This window comes from Homo sapiens, chromosome 17, assembly GCF_000001405.40.
Source record: "Homo sapiens chromosome 17, GRCh38.p14 Primary Assembly".
NCBI classification, from domain to species: domain Eukaryota; kingdom Metazoa; phylum Chordata; class Mammalia; order Primates; family Hominidae; genus Homo; species Homo sapiens.
The window spans coordinates 40,654,393-40,670,685 of record NC_000017.11 but is presented as its reverse complement, the minus strand read 5'-3'; the positions used below and the strand labels follow the sequence as shown (position 1 = coordinate 40,670,685).

General features: G+C 37.6%; 1 protein-coding gene across 1 annotated transcript; it reads left to right on the top strand.

The window, feature by feature from the left end:
• The first annotated feature begins 5,508 nt into the window (after positions 1-5,508).
• KRT222 (keratin 222) lies at positions 5,509-16,021 on the top strand. Its single transcript, NM_152349.3, has 6 exons — positions 5,509-5,682; positions 8,642-8,770; positions 10,479-10,699; positions 12,936-13,012; positions 13,199-13,334; positions 14,056-16,021. Exons 1-6 carry the CDS (start codon positions 5,587-5,589, stop codon positions 14,282-14,284), a joined length of 888 nt encoding a protein of 295 aa, NP_689562.1. The 5' UTR covers positions 5,509-5,586; the 3' UTR covers positions 14,285-16,021.
• The last annotated feature ends 272 nt before the right edge of the window (positions 16,022-16,293 follow it).

The window sequence follows — 16,293 nt, the reverse complement described above, 5'->3', positions numbered from 1 at the left end:
GGTAGTTTCCATATCTTGGCTATTGCGAATAATGCTACAATGAACATAAAAGTGCAGATATCTTTACAAGGTGGTGTTTGCATCTCCTTTGGGTGGATACCCAGAAGGGGAATTGCTGGGTCATAGGGAAGTTCTTTTTCTTTTCTTTTTTTTTTTTTTTTTTTTTTGAGATGGAGTCTCACTCTGTTGCCCAGGCTGGAGTGCAGTGGCGTGATCTTGGCTCACTGCAACCCTGGCCTCCAGAGTTCAAGTGATTCTCCTGCCTCAGCCTCCCAAGTAGCTGGGACTACAGGTGCCCACCACCACGCCCGGCTAATTTTTGTATTTTTAGTAGAGACGGGGTTTCACCACTTTGGCCCGGCTGGTCTCGAACTCCTGATCTCAAATGATCCACCTGCCTCGGCCTCCCAAAGTGCTGGGATTACAGGCATGAGCCAGCGCACCTGGCCTGGAAGTTCTGTTTTTGACTTCTTTAGAAACCTCCATGCACTTTTTGCTAATGGCTGCACCAATCTCCATTCCCACCAACAGTGTACTGTTTCTTTGCTCCACACCTTTGCCAACATTTGTCACTCTCATCTTTTTGATAACACCAATCCTAACAGGTGTAAGGTGATATCTCATAGCAATTTTGATTTGCATTTCCCTGATGGTTAGTGATGTTAAACACCTCTTCATGGATCTGTTGCCCATTTTTATGTCTTCTTTGGAGAAATATCTGTTTAGATCCTTTGCTCATTTTTTAACTGGTTTATTTGTTTTTCTGCTATTCAGTTGTAAGAGTTCTTTATAAATTTTGGATATTAACCCCTTACTAGATATGCAGTTTGCAAATATCTATTCCCAGCCTGTACATTGCCTTTTCATTGTGTTAATTGCTTCCTCTGCTGTACAGAAGCTTTTTATTTTGATGTAGTCCCACTTATTTATTTTTGCTTTTGTAGCCTGGGCTTTTGGTGTAATATCCAAAACATCATTACCAAGGCCAATGTCAAGGAGCTTTTACCCTCTCTTATCCTCTAGGAGTTTAATGGCTTCAGGTCTTACATTTAGATCTTTTATCCATTTTGAGTGGATTTTCTAATATGGTGTAAGATAAGGGTCCAATTTCATTTTTTTGCATGTGGAAATCCAGTTTTCCCAGTACCATTTATTGAAGAGACTATTTTTTCCCCATTGGGTCCTCTTGAGGCCCTTGCCAAAATGTAGTTAATTAAATTAGGTTTAGATTTATTTCTGGGCTCTATACTCTGTTTAACTGGTCTATGTTTCTGTTTTTATGCCAGTACCATGCTGTTTTGATTGCTATAGCTTCCAAATATAATTTAAAATCAGGGAGCATTTATTTGTAATTATAACTTTTGAAAACTTATATGTACTGTTTCCTCTCTTTGAAATTTATGTAAATCCTTTTGAAGCCTAGATAGGCCTTTCATTAGCTTTATGATCCAGGGATGTATTTCTCAAGTACCTGGGAGCCATCTCTTTGAAATGTAAACATCAAAAGAGATGACACCCCTATATCCCAGTTTCTGTGGGAGGGTAGGAGCCTAACTTCTGTGGGTACCTTACTCAAAGTTGCAAAACTACCACCTGTCATAAAGATATAAAAAGTTTTGTTTTTCCTCTGGAGAAAGCCAAGTAGCTGACACAGATGATCACCCCAAATTACCAGGTGAAGTTAAGATGAACGATGTGTAACTATGGTACTGTCAAGTCCTCTTACTCTAACTTAACTATTGTTTATCTTGAAAATATGTATGTAGGTCGGGCACGGTGGTTCATGCCTGTAATGCCAGTACGTTGGGAGGCCAAGGTGGGTGGATTGCCTGAGGTCAGGACAGCCTGGCCAACATGGTGAAACTCTGTCTCTACTAAAATACAAAAATTAGCTGAGCATTGTGGTGTGCGCCTGTAATCCCAGCTACTCGGGAGGCTGAGGCAGGAGACTTGGTTGAGCCTGGGAGCCAGAGGTTGCAGTGAGCTGAGATCGCGCCATTGCACTCCAGCCTGGGCGACAGAGCTAGACTCCATCTCAAAAAAAAAAACAAAAAGTATGTAATAGGTTGTATCTGCTGCTTGGCTATGTAACAGGTGAGATTTCCTTCCATCTTGCAATTTCCTAGAAGATTACCTGTGATGCACATCACATTCTAGTTTAGTGCTTATTCAGTAATAGAAGTATTTTCTTTCCGTACTACCTTTGTGGAGAGGATTTCTGGGTTGAGGGAAGATTTTTGTTTTTAGTTATATGTCTCCAACCAACGATAATGGGACAGATGGGAAGAATAATGACTGTCTCAGTGAACACAGCTTGGACAGATGACACTAAGGACAATATGCTCCCCGCCCCAGGTCACAACTATATAAGCTCCCCTAAAACTTAGATGCAATGCTTTGGAGAAAAGGCGAGAGACTGAGATGATGAGATTTAACACACATCCTCCATAGAATAGGAACTCAAAATAAAGATTAACATGAAAAAAGAAAAATAAAGCAATAAGGTCTGCCTGAGCCTATGCACCCAGAGTTGTGATAGCTGCAGCATGAACTACTTGCCAATATTTAACTGCAGGAATCTTAACTTCAGATGATTGTACCAACAACTCGTTTCCTCTGGCTGAAGAGAGAGGGATAAATGAGTGGAAGAAAACTTACATTTATCAGAATGGCTCTCAAACTTTGCTACATATTAGACTCCTGGGAAGTTTTCAAAAATTCTGATGCCCAGGCCCCGTCCTGAGCCAATTAAATCAGATTTTCTGGGAGGAGGACACAGTCATCACCATTTTTTAAAGTTCCAGAAGTGATTTCAGTGTGCAGACACACAGACACACGAATGTCCCTGGAGCCAGGGTCCCCAAACACAGTATTTTGGCATTTGTGAGATGTGTTATAACAAGCTTTCTCCTTTTAATAAAGTCAACATTTTTAAATTATTTACTTTTCTAATAACTATAATGGATTTATGACAATCTCCATCATAATCTCAGTCCATGCACCAAGAATTGTAGGGACCCCACAATTTTATATATGCCATAGCCTTTAATGAGGTATTGTTACTGTTTTATTTAAATAAAGGGTAGTATTTTTGTAAAGGAAAGTAATAATATTTTTTCCTTGAAAAATAAAATTTGAGATCTAGAAATAGTTTACTGCATTACTCACATGCCTGTAAAATACCTTTCTAAATCCTATCCCCTCTGTCTGTCTCAATAAATAAATATTTATTATTATGTCTCAAATTATTGACACAGGGTCCCATTCTGTTGCCCAGGCTGGAGTGCAGTGGTGTGATCTGGCTTACTGCAGCCTCAATCTTCCCAGGCTCAAGTGATCCTCCCACCTCAGCCTCCCAAGTAGGTGGGACTACAGGCTTGCACCACTACTCCTGGCTAATTTTTTAATTTTTTTTTTTTGTAGAGTCTGGGTCTCTCTATGTTGCCCAGGCTTGTCTTGAACTCCTGAGCTCAAGCCATCCTCCCGCCTCAGCCTCCCAAAGTGCTGGGATTACAGGGGTGAGCCACTGTGCCCAGCTATTGAGCACTTTAAATGTGGCTGTTCCAAGCTGAGATGCGATGTAAGTATAAAATACACTTGGATTTCAAAGACAGTATCAAGAATAATGTAAAAGATCTCATTAACATTTTATATGGGTTGCTGCATTTTGGATATATCAAGTTAAATAAAATATAGTCGTAAAATTAATTTCACTTCTTTTTGTTTCAATCTTTTGATATGGCTACTAGAAAGTTTGGAAGGACATCTGTGGTTTGCATTTGTGGTTTGTGTTATATTTCCACTGGACAGTGCTGCTTTATTTAGGGTGCATAAGAAATGCTGGCAGACCTATTTAAAATGCAGATTGCCAGGACTGACCCTCCAGGGAATCTAGTTCAGCTCTCTGTGTTTCAGGCGGATATTAGCAGGAGCTACCTAAAGTAGCAGGAAGCATTTAATTCATTGCTCCCTGAATTTAATTTAGGAATTTAATTCATTGCTTTCTTCTCTCTCCTCCACTCCCAAGCCTAATTCTCTTCATATTTCTCAGTCCCAGTTACCAAGAAAGAGAATCAGTTTGGCCTAGATAATCATTAATGACTCTCTTTAGTCAGAGCTTTCTGTCTCAGCCTACTCCAAAGGTCTCTGACCAATCTATAGATAATCAAGTTGTGACTGATGGGGAAGGTGCAGGAGGTAGGGAGGGGTGGGTCAGAAATAACCTGGAACCTCTCCTCTCACCAGGAGCTGTGGGTAGGACAGCTTTGTTTGGAGAGGGCTGTGAGAATGCCCAGCATAGACTGGCCTGGCCAGATGTGAGTTAATTCAGAAATTAAAAGAGCAGGACATGCATGCAAAGGCCCTGTAAGGGCTAGAACCCAGGTCTGATTATCTCCTGAACTGTGCTCCAGATACAATTCAGCCAAAGCCACTCCACAAATAACAATAATGATAGATCCACTCTCACGACATATTTCTGTCACATCTAGCAACCAGCTGGCAAGATTAAACCAGGAATTTAGAAGGGGAGAGAGAGAACGCAGAGGCAGATATGCAGGGGTAATACATGGAACACAAGCAAGTTGTCAAAGAGCCAGTCCCAGTGATGTCATACATCACTGAGCAACCTTGGGCAAGATGCCTCAACCTCTCTGGCCTCAGTCTTTTCATCTTTACAGGTTAGAAAATGTCAGGGATTGCAAGGATTGGATGGAATGATACGCCAAATACACCCTCCGAAGGGCTCAAGTGATTGCAACGATTGGATGGAATGGTACACTGACTACACCCTCCAAAGGACTCAAGGGTTCTTTTGGTGAATACACCAAAAGGTCTATTTCTTCATCCTTGTTAAAACTTTGGAAATGTTAACTCACAACTCTCATAGTCTACCAGCACTTATCTGCAACATTTTGAGAAAACTAAATATAATTTTCTTTTTTTTTTTTTTTTTTTTTTTTGGAGATGGAGTCTCACTCTGTCACCCAGGCTGGAGTGCAGTGGCTCAATCTCGGCTCACTGCAACCTCCACCTCCTGGGTTCAAGCAATTCTCCTGCCTCAGCCTCCCGAGTAGCTGGGATTACAGGCACCCACCACCACGCCCAGCTAATTTTTGTATTTTTAGTAAAGACAGGGTTTCATCATGTTGGCCAGGCTGATCTCGAACTCCCGACCTCAGGTGATCCACCCACCTCAACCTCCTAAAGTGCTGGGATTACAGGCATGAGCCACCATGCCCGGCAATTTTCTTATGTTATGCCCCATTTCCTTTTCACAAAAATGAACTCCCCCTCCCCTCAAAGTGCTCAATTTTTACAGGGAACCAGTACAGGTTTTTGAAATTTTCCTTTCCTTCATGAAGAATCTGACATTTCTACTATACCAATAACAATAGGAGCAAAGAGTTTACCCTGTATTTGCATAATTAGTTAGAAAGATGAGAATTTCCGTGGCCTCCGAAAAAGGAGCTCTGCATCTTTAAAACTCTGCGAGGCTCCCTGCCTTCCGCGCAGACCGAGCAGACTGCCGCAGCGACTCATCCTATCGATAAGGTTCAGTTAGCCAAGGTGGAGGATGGGAAAAGAATGGAACTGTCCCAGCTACTCAATGAGATCAGGGCAAACTATGAAAAGATCCTCACCAGAAATCAGATAGAGACGGTGCTCTCAACAAGGATCCAGGTAATGATTTCATACAGACAGGCACCTTCCAGAATAAGGAGACAGTCCATGTCTACCCAATTCCTGTCCCGGCCTCTCTGAGGTACAGTATTTCCTTTTCGATGCAGCATCTATTGGGGAAGGAATTTAGCTTCTACTGCAGTGTGACTGGGACTACAGGGGGAAATACTGTGATTATATTGTTAAATTGCCATTAAGTAAGTGTTGATTGATGCATTTGATTTTTATATAAATTGTGAGGTTCCTATCATTAACATGGGGTCAACATACCATAAAATGGTGCACTCTAACCTCTTACAATCTTCAGGAAGGAACCATTCCAAATACCCTTCAAAGATATTATTGGAGTTATTTACAGAGATAATTTAAATAACATCTTTAAAATGAAAAATCTTTAAGTAAGATTTATTAGCATGTACACTTTCTAGAGATATTTCTAAAAGGTTTCTATCATCTTTTTAACGAGTTCCATTTTATACCAGATTGTTATAAATAGAAATCATCTGAGTGTGTGAACATGGCATTCAGAAACAATGATATAAATTATGACCATTGAAATTCCCCAAATTGGTAACGATTCTCCACTAAGATTTTTGCTTCTGTACTATAAGATGAGAAACATTTCTTTCCATTACAAAGCTTGTAATATTTAAGTATTTAAAAAAGAGAAAGAGAGCCTACTTAGATAAGGACTAAATCCTAATTTCATAGACTTAGTTTTAAAGTAACAATCACCTTCAGCAAGTAATTAAGGTCTCAAGTCTTTAAACAAATTTACAAACAAATATTTTAGAAACAAAGATTAAGAAATTTAGGGGATTTTTTAGTTTACCTATCATATATGGGTTCAAGTTATCTTCCAAACCCTGAAATACAGCAAAAAGTTTACTTAAGAATATCACCCAAAATTTTAAAAAAAAAAATTGGTAGAAAAATGTCAGGCCTTTATTCCATTAGCCACTCATTTTTAGTTCCATTGTAAATTTCACCTCTAGATAACATTTTCAGCCTTCATAAAGAATGATCAACATCTTAGATTAAGCAAAGTCACTGGTACAGGTAAGCATTGGGATAGTTCATTCACCTTTACAAACAGAAGAAAAAAATCAATAGATGACAACTTCTAAAAATCATAAACAAAACACTTAACTTTGCAGTAGTAGAAATATGAGTTTAGTTTACAAGTCACAGGGCCAAAATGAGTAAATTCAAATGAAAAAGCAAGACTACGGTGAGTTTTGTTTAAAGTGTCTTTTAATTTGAAACTACTTTAGAGGATTTTCTTCCAAATAACTCAGAAAGTCAGCTGAAATAAATTCAAGACAGCCTGATTAGTTATTTTTTTAAATTTCTAAATAAGCTATTTTAGTTACAGATTGTTGTATAACACCCCAAAACTCATCTGGGACCTCAATCGTCTTGGGGCATGACTGGGCTCACTTATGTGTCTGGCACTTTGGCAGGGCATTGCCGAAAGGCTGGCTCTGCTGGGACTTTCTCTCTCACTTCACGTAGCCTCAGGGTCTCTCTCCATCTGGCCTTTCTACAGGATCTCTCCAGCAGGGTATCCAGACTTCTTGCATATTGGCCCAAGGCTCCCAAAAGCATAGAAGTGGAAGCTATCAGGCTTCCTAAGACTTAGGTCTAGAAGTGGCACAGCATTCCTTCTGCCTCATTCTACTGGTTAAAGCAAGACCCAGGTCAGCCCAGAGTCAATGTAGAAGGGGATCACCCTAGGACTCATCTTGGGAGATAGACTTCTTTAGGGGCCATCTTGGGACTGTAGTTACCGAACAAGCTTAGCTGCCAGTTCCATATTTGAAAGCCACAAGACCAGCAGATACCAGCATTTTTCTGTTTTCTTCTCTCCAAAATTCCTTACTTTACCTTCTGTAGTTGCTCTGGTAGGTGTTGCTTGCTGCCTGACTTTGCCAAGTTAACACTAAGAACAGATTTTCAACAAACCAAAAGAAATGTACGAATTTTGTTCTCCAATACCTTGCCCTAAACTTTATTCATAAACTTTCATTTACTTCAACGTTTTTTTAAAAAAATCTAATGTATGATAAAATTAAATTTTTAAATGTTAAAATATATTTTTATAAGAAAATTAAAAGTTATAAATTTTGCTTCAAAATGCTACAATCAATTCTATACATTGTTCTCACTGTTCCTGGGGCCAAATGTTAAAAATTCTGTCAACAGATACTTTCTTTTCATTTCAACATCAACATAAAAACATTTAAAGCTAAATATAAAATATTCTACTTTTTTAATAGGAGAATATTTAGAAAACAATCCTTAGAGAAGTCATTTTTATTATTTATTCATTTTATTACCCAGATACCCAAAATTAATATGCCTTTTAAAAAGATCATCTTGAAAAAGGTCAATCAACAGATTTTCTTAATATGGAAGTCTATTTGTGAGCCTTATTGCCTATAACAACTTAATTCTCTAAATTACTAGTAATGTATTTCCTAGCAGTATTTACGCCCTATCCCTATACCTGGTCCCAGAATTGATCAGTTTTGGGGGTACGGCTGTTTATCTGCTTCTGCAAAGCAGCCTACAAGAAAATGTGGGGGGAAATAGCTAATTTTCAATCCTTCCTCCTAGTGATCCATAAATAATGAAAAGTTAAAAATCAGAGATCACGAATCTTGGTCCTGCAAACTGTTTTCATTCATGTAAATGTATTTTTCCATATTTCACAGATTGTCATAGTTGGAAGGGATTTCTTGAAATCATTTAACATAGGAGAAAACGGGCTAAGAACGCAATGGACTTACATATTTAATTAGTTAACTAGGCACTAGGACACACATTATAATCTAATGAGTTAAGGAAAAATGCTTTGATTCCTATACAATTTTTCTATAATTGCTTTTACACATCTCATTTTCAGAAGCACTCCTTGTTTTTTGTTTGTTATTGTTGCTGTTGGCTTTCTTGTTAGCTAGAAGAAGACATAAGCAAAAAAATGGACAAAGATGAAGAGGCTTTGAAGGCAGCTCAAGCAGAACTCAAGGAGGCCCGACGCCAGTGGCACCACCTGCAAGTGGAAATTGAATCTCTCCATGCTGTGGTGAGAATGATCCCAAAAGTAACCGACCCATCGAGTCCTCAGATGTGATTTGATTAAGAGAAGGAAAAGATGAATGTCTGTTTATTTACCATGAGAAACTGGAAATCAAGGCCACTGAATTCTATCCCTGATCCTAGTTTAATTACTCACCCCTCCCTCCATTGTGGCAGTGGCTGTTACCAACTCACTCAAGGTTTAGTTCAGACCTGTAAAAATGAAGAAATCCTTTCTTATTACCTTGGGATTTTCTAGTTGCTGAAGATAGGGAATAGAGCATTCGTTATTATCCAAAGTCTTAACAGTGGAGATTCTTTTATCCATGCCATTGAGACGTCGAATAAAAAATATTTAGGCTGACACTGTGGCTTACCCCTGTAATCCCAGCACTTTGGGAGGCTGAGGTGGGCTGATTGCCTGAGCTCAGGAGTTTGAGACCAGCCTGAGCAACATGATGAAACCCCATCTCTATTAAATACAAAATATTAGCCAGGCATGGTGGCACGCGCCTGTTGTCCCAGCAACTTAGGAGGCTGAGGCACAAAAATTACTTGAACCTGGGAGGCAGAGGTTGCAGTAAGCCAAGATCATGCCACTGCACTCCAGCCTGGGTGACAGAGCGAGACTCTGTCTCCAGAAAAGAAAAGGAAAAAAAAAAAGAAAGAAAAATATTTAAGCATGTTTGGAGCAAGGCACAGTTGCTCACGCCTGTAATCCTAGCACTTTGGAAGGCCAAGGCTTGAGGCCAGGAGTTTGAAGCCAGCCTGAGCAACATGGCGAAAACATCTCTCCTAAAAATACAAAAAATTAGCCAGGTATGGTGGCACACGCCTGTAATCCCAGCTACTCTGGAGGCTGAGGCACGAGAATCACTTGAACCCAGGAGGCAGAGGCTGCAGTAAGCTGAGATCATGCCACTGCACTCCAGCATGAGCGACAGAGCGAGACTGTCTCAAACAAACAAACAAACAAAAAGTATTTAAGCATGTTCCTAAATGCCTTTTATGAGCAGTCTGCTCTGGCCTTGATACTCAATGTACTATATTTTCTTTTTTTTTTTTTTTTTTACAAAGCCTACCTCTGAAGTATACTTTCAATAATTTAAAAATCAGATAATTCAGAGTGATAATAAGTTAATCACACTGCAGAGGATTTTTTTTTCAGTAAGAATTATCACAGGATGTCTTTGAAATAGAGTAAGATCTCTAGTTATGTAAATAAAATATAATTTTTTAATAATTAGGGGTCACACAAAGCTGTAAGGAAACACACCTCTTGCATAGGTATAATAAAATTATTGCAATCTTTTTAAAGAAAAAAATAGAACATAGAATGAAGACAGCCAGGCGCGGTGGCTCAAGCCTGTCATCCCAGCACTTTGGGAGGCCAAGGCGGGCGGATCACAGGGTCAGGAGTTTGAGACCAGCCTGGCCAACATGATGAAACCCCGCCTCTACTAAAGATACAAAAAATTAGCCGGGCGTGGTGGCACGCGACTGTAATCCCAGCTACTTGGGAGGCTGAGGGAGGAGAATCATTGAGCCCAGGAGGTGGAGTTTCCAGTGAACCGAGATCATGGCATTGCACTACACTCTGGGCAACAGGGTGAGACTCCATCTCAAAAAAAAAAAAAAGATGAAGATATTGCAAATCAGATTTCAGAAACACATTCTGTGTTACTGATTCACTGATGAAAATCTATATAAAACAGGAAAGGGGCCTTGAAAACTCCCTACATGCCAGCGAGCAGCATTACCAGATGCAGCTGCAAGACCTAGAGACTGTGATTGAAGGACTAGAAAAAGAGCTACAGGAAGTAAGGCGCGGCATCGAAAAGCAGCTTCAAGAGCACGAGATGCTTCTCAACACGAAGATGAGGCTGGAACAAGAAATAGCAACTTATCGCCACCTCCTAGAAAAAGAAGAAATCAGGTACCTAAATCCATTTAGTTAATGACAAGGGGCCAGAAATACAGAGCCACTTATGCCATTGTTGATGTAGTCAGAGAAATTAAATCCAAAAACCCCATCATCATCATGGTGTACTCACTGAGCCCATACAATAAGGTATGCACTGCAAAGAATATATGAAAGAACCATTTCTAGTCTTCCAAAATTAGGAACCAAACAGCCAAAGTCACCTAGAACAAAATGTAAACAATTCTAGATTACTACAAAAATGATCTTGTAGTCTTGGCCAGCTGCAGTGGCTCACTGCTGTAATCCCAGCACTTTGGGAGGCTGAGGCAGGAGGATTACTACAGCTCAGGAGCTCAATACCAGCTTGGGCAATATAGTGAGACCTCATCTGTACAAAAAATTTTAAAATTCGCTGAGCATGGTGGCACACACCTGTAGTCCCAGCTACTTGGGAGGCTAAGGTAGGAGGATTGCTTAAGGAGTTTGGGATTACAATGAGCTAATCATGAAAAAGACCTTTCCTGAGCTGGGTGCAGCGGCTCACGCCTGTAATCTCAGCACTTCGGGAGGCTGAGGTGGGCGGATCACCTGAGGTCAGGAGTTCAAGATCCGCCTGGCCAACATGGCGAAACCCTGTCTCTACTAAAAGAAAAAAACAATAATAATAATACAAAAATTAGCCGGGCATGGTGGTGCATGCCTGTAATCCCAGCTACTCGGGAGGCTGAGACAGGAGACTCGCCTGAATCCAGGAGAGGCAGGTTGCAGTGAGCCGAGACTGCGCCACTGCACTCCAGCCCAGGCGACAGAGTGAGACTCCACCTCAAAAAAAAAAAAAAAAGAGAGAGAGAGAGAGAGACCTTTCCTAACTTTCTCACTTTCCTTGCCATTCATCTCTTCTAGGATTAGTCTGTGCCTTCTAAGGATCACCCATAACAAAAGCCTGGAAAATTCACAATCACCACAATCCCCCTGATCAAGGGCTCACCCTATACCACACATCAAACCTCAAAACAGTAATCATTACTCTAACGTAATTATATTACAACCACGGAAAGCAATATTATTTTGAGTCATGATTTAAAAGACTACCAGATATCCTGATAGGAAAAGATATCAAAAGAGGAATTCTTGTTAATTCATACATCATAATCTGTAATGACTTATAAGGTCATATTGCTTTGAGCATGACATAACCTCCAATTCTCCATGAAAAAATCTTTATTCTTGCTTGCTTCCAAATTCTAAGTCCTCTATAAAACTAGATGAAAACTAGGTGAAACAACTTTAGCCTATAATAAATCTTGACATTTATTAAATCTTTGAAAAAACATAAACTGAATCAAAAATATACCACTTACTAGCTGAGTGACCTTGGGCAAGTTACTTAACCTCTGTGTGCCTCAGTTTTCTCATCTGTAAAATGGGAATAATACTACTACCTACCTCATAGGATTGCTGTGAGGATTAAATGAGTTAATGTTTGTAAAGTGCTTAAAACAATACCTGGCACATTGTAAGTTCTATGTAAATGTGTGTGTATACATATCATGTATATACATATGTATATGTATATATGTAACTATATAGTTAAATGGTTATAAATTTTAATTCCTAATCATTCCAGTTCCTATATACATGTAACTATATAATTGTTAAATAAAATGAATGGTTGTGAATTTTATTTAATTCCTAATCATTCAAGATATTGATCAAAGTCTTTAATATTTGCATAGTAAAACTTTAAAAAAATTAGGCTACACTTGAGATATACAAGAAAATTTCAAAAAAATATAATGACCACCTCTGTACCCACTTCCCCCAGTTTAAGAAGAAAAATAGTTCCAAAAAAAAAAAAAAGAGTAAAATGTTTCCAATGTTGTTGAAGTTCCCTGGACACCTAAGCCACATACCCTAATCTCATGCTCCTCCCTCTACCTGACCTGGCTTCTGAATTTGATGCTTATTAGTCCCATACATTTATTTATGGTAATATGTATGTATTCCTACAAAGTATGAAATTGTTTTGCATATTATTCTAAACTTTATAAAACTATAAAACTTCTTTTTTCACTCAATATTATTCTTAGGGGATCAATCCATAAAGATACGGTGAAGCCTTAGTTCATTTCTTTTCAGTTAAATAGTGTTTCTATTGCGTGAATATACGATTTATCCATTCTCCTGTTTGTTTTAATTATTTGCTGATACAGTGTTGCTCTTAAAATAAAATTCTTTCTGATTTCAGATATTATGGTTGTATCCAAGGTGGGAAAAAAGACAAAAAGCCTACCACAAGTAGAGTTGGTTTTGTTTTACCATCAGGTGAGTTTCTGACATAAATAAACTCATTTGAAAAGTGATGTACTATTTACAGGGATTACTTTATAAGGAAATTAAATACTTTAAAGTCGAAAAAAAACAAGCAATATTTGAATAAAAGTTTGAATATAATTTGTGAACAGTAATTCAATACTGTAATTTAATATATCATAAATGATATTTTCACAGCCATTATAAATGAAATATCTTTTACTACAAAAGTCCCACAAAAGTATGAGAATGAAAATGTAGAAACAGTAACCAAACAGGCAATCTTAAATGGGAGTATCGTTAAGGAGAGCACTGAAGCTCATGGCACTATTCAGTAAGTAAAGAAACTTTGACTAAGAAATAATAATAAATATATGTAAAGAAATTAACTTTGCGTAATCCCAGTAATTACTCTTCTTTGTTTAAATGTTTCCAAACATAGTTTTAGTATACTGTGATTTTTTTTTTTTTTTTTGAGATTGAGTCTTGCTCTGTCGCCAGGGTGGAGTGCAGTGGCGCGATCTTGGCTCACTGCAACCTCCACCTCCCGGGTTCAAGCAATTCTTCTGCCTCAGCCTCCCACGTAGCTGGGACTACAGGTGCGCGCCACCACACTCAGCTGGGTTTTTCTTTGTATTTTTAGTAGAGATGGGGTTTTACCATGTTGGCCAGGCTTGTCTCATTCTCCTGACCTCATGATCTGCCCACCTCAGCCTCCCAAATTGCTGGGATTACAGGCATGAGCCACCACACCCAGCCTATACTGTGATTTTTAATCTGACATATATACATAAAAACTCATGGAAGAGTACTGAATCCTTACTTTGCCGTTTTTTTCCAAAAATACAACCCAAACATGAGAATTCCTAAAGAGAAATTCCATACAATTCCTTTGAAATTCTATTCATATGATTTTTAAAGTATGTACATTATAAATTCTATACACTATAAATTATACAAATTTCTTGATTTTTCCATAGATATGAAATATATAATACATATTTTTAATAGACCCATACTTCTTCATTATTAAAAGGTTTATTTTATCATTTCAGGACAGAGAAAGTGGATGAAGTTATTAAAGAATGGGAAGGTTCTTTCTTTAAAGATAACCCTCGATTGAGGAAAAAGTCTGTTTCTCTTCGATTTGATCTTCATTTAGCAGCCACTGATGAAGGGTGTTTAGAGACTAAGCAGGATAATCTACCAGATATAGAAGTCAGGCTTATCATGAGAAGATCATGCAGTATTCCCTCTATCAAACCTCCATCAACAGCTAATTAATCCAAAGATAGTATTTGACTTGATTGGAAAATGTTAGGATGGACCAAGGTGGGCCATACCAACTCCCTCTGTCCCAAAATGTAAGTTATTACGTATGTATGGAAAATGTTATGATCAATATGTGGTTCTCTTCAGAAGAAAAAAACAATAAAGGACATTTCTCTGAATCTAATTATGGAGATAGACATATATATATATATATGAATGAGAGGGAGTAGCTTAAAAATAAAATCACAAATCCAGTACAGTCTCTTTCTTTATATTCTCCCAATAGTCTTCTTTTTCCCTTGAAACTTCATCAGAGACTGTAAGCATTAACCTGGTTTAGTAAAGTCTTTGTAATTTTTTTCAATGGCTGAATACGCTAAGGAAAAAAGAATTGTTTGAATAGGATTGTGTTAAGAGTCACACTGAGTTATTCACCATTATTCCATGACTGGTTAAACCTACAATGTTTGTTCTATTTTTCAAAAAGAGCAATTATAAACAAGTTTTTAAAGGGGGACTCACTATTCACCTAATGAGGATTCTTCTTTTTGAGATAAATCATTTGTATACTGAGAAAAATGAGTTATTTTCCATGAGAAATTCTGAGCAAACTATAGAACACACCCCAGGGCTAATTTGAGATAAGTACAATTAAGTTAATCTACATATATCTAAAAGGTTTTTTTTGTAATAAGTATCTGATTTCCGGAAGATTTACTTTACTCAAGGAACTTTAAAGGTTGTATCCCCCACCAAAAAAAGAAAAAAAATCAGAAGGCCAACTGCGCAAACAAAACATGAAAAGCAAATTGAAAAGGTAGTTACTATAGTTATCAGAACAGTTACCCACCATCCCAGTTTTTCCAACTGTAAAGCTAAATGTGATTAGATTGTTTGCTATAAGCCGTAGATAAGATACTATATGAAGTATTATAAATATTTCTTGCAATCATTTATGTGAACTAAGATAACGGTATTGTTATCTAAGCTAAGAGTATTTAGAGGATTTGTTTTTAAATCGTTCAAATTGTAATAAATATGGGTAGAAAATATATTTGTGAATAAGTGAGGTATTGTTGCAAAGTTTTTAAAATAACCTAATTTGTTTAATACAGGTATATTTAAGATCTTAATAAATACCTGTTTTAAGACATTAGAAATTTATAAGTTCTTAATTCTTTTCTAAGCAGAAAAAGTAGCTGAGTACAACTCACCATACTTTTTCCCAGCTAAAGTATCATCTAAGGGCTATAGCTACGTTAGCATTTTAGTACAGCCTTTAAAATATTTCTCTCTCTCTCTCCTCTCTCTTCTCCTCTATCTCTCTCTCCATATATACTTATTATATATATACATATATATAATTTATATATATGTATATATATATTTCAACCAGAAAAATGTATGTTTTAACCAGGAAAATATTATGTTAAATAATCTTTAACATAATACAGGGATATAAAATTTTTAATTTTCTTTCAATTACTTCAGATTCCTTTTAGTCTGGTTTATTCTATTTAGTGAAAAGGGATGATTTTGTTTTGTCAAGGATATAACAGCATGTTAAGTGCTTATTCTTGCATAAGCATCTGACCTAAAATACATCCTATACATAAAAAATGTTTCATTTGATATTGCTAAATGCTACTAACTTTATTAAAGCTTTAAAAATGCAATCATATAAGCTATTGTACTAAAGTTACTGTACTAAGCAACAGTGATCATAATAAAGCAATATATCTAGCATAATCTATTGCAGTGTTAAAAAAAACTTAGTACTGGTCGTCATGAATGTAACTGCTTGTTGTAGCAATTCCAGTATGCATCTATTGGGTGTATAACATGTAGATTTTAAAATACAGTATTTGAATTTATAATGAAGCTTTATTTGCTTTGGGGCATTTTAAATTGGGATATGAATTTACCAAGGTAATGATTCCACTACAATTAAAAAAATGAAACATGGCCAGGCACGGTGGCTCATGCCTGTAATCCCAGCACTTTGGGAGGCCAACGTGGGA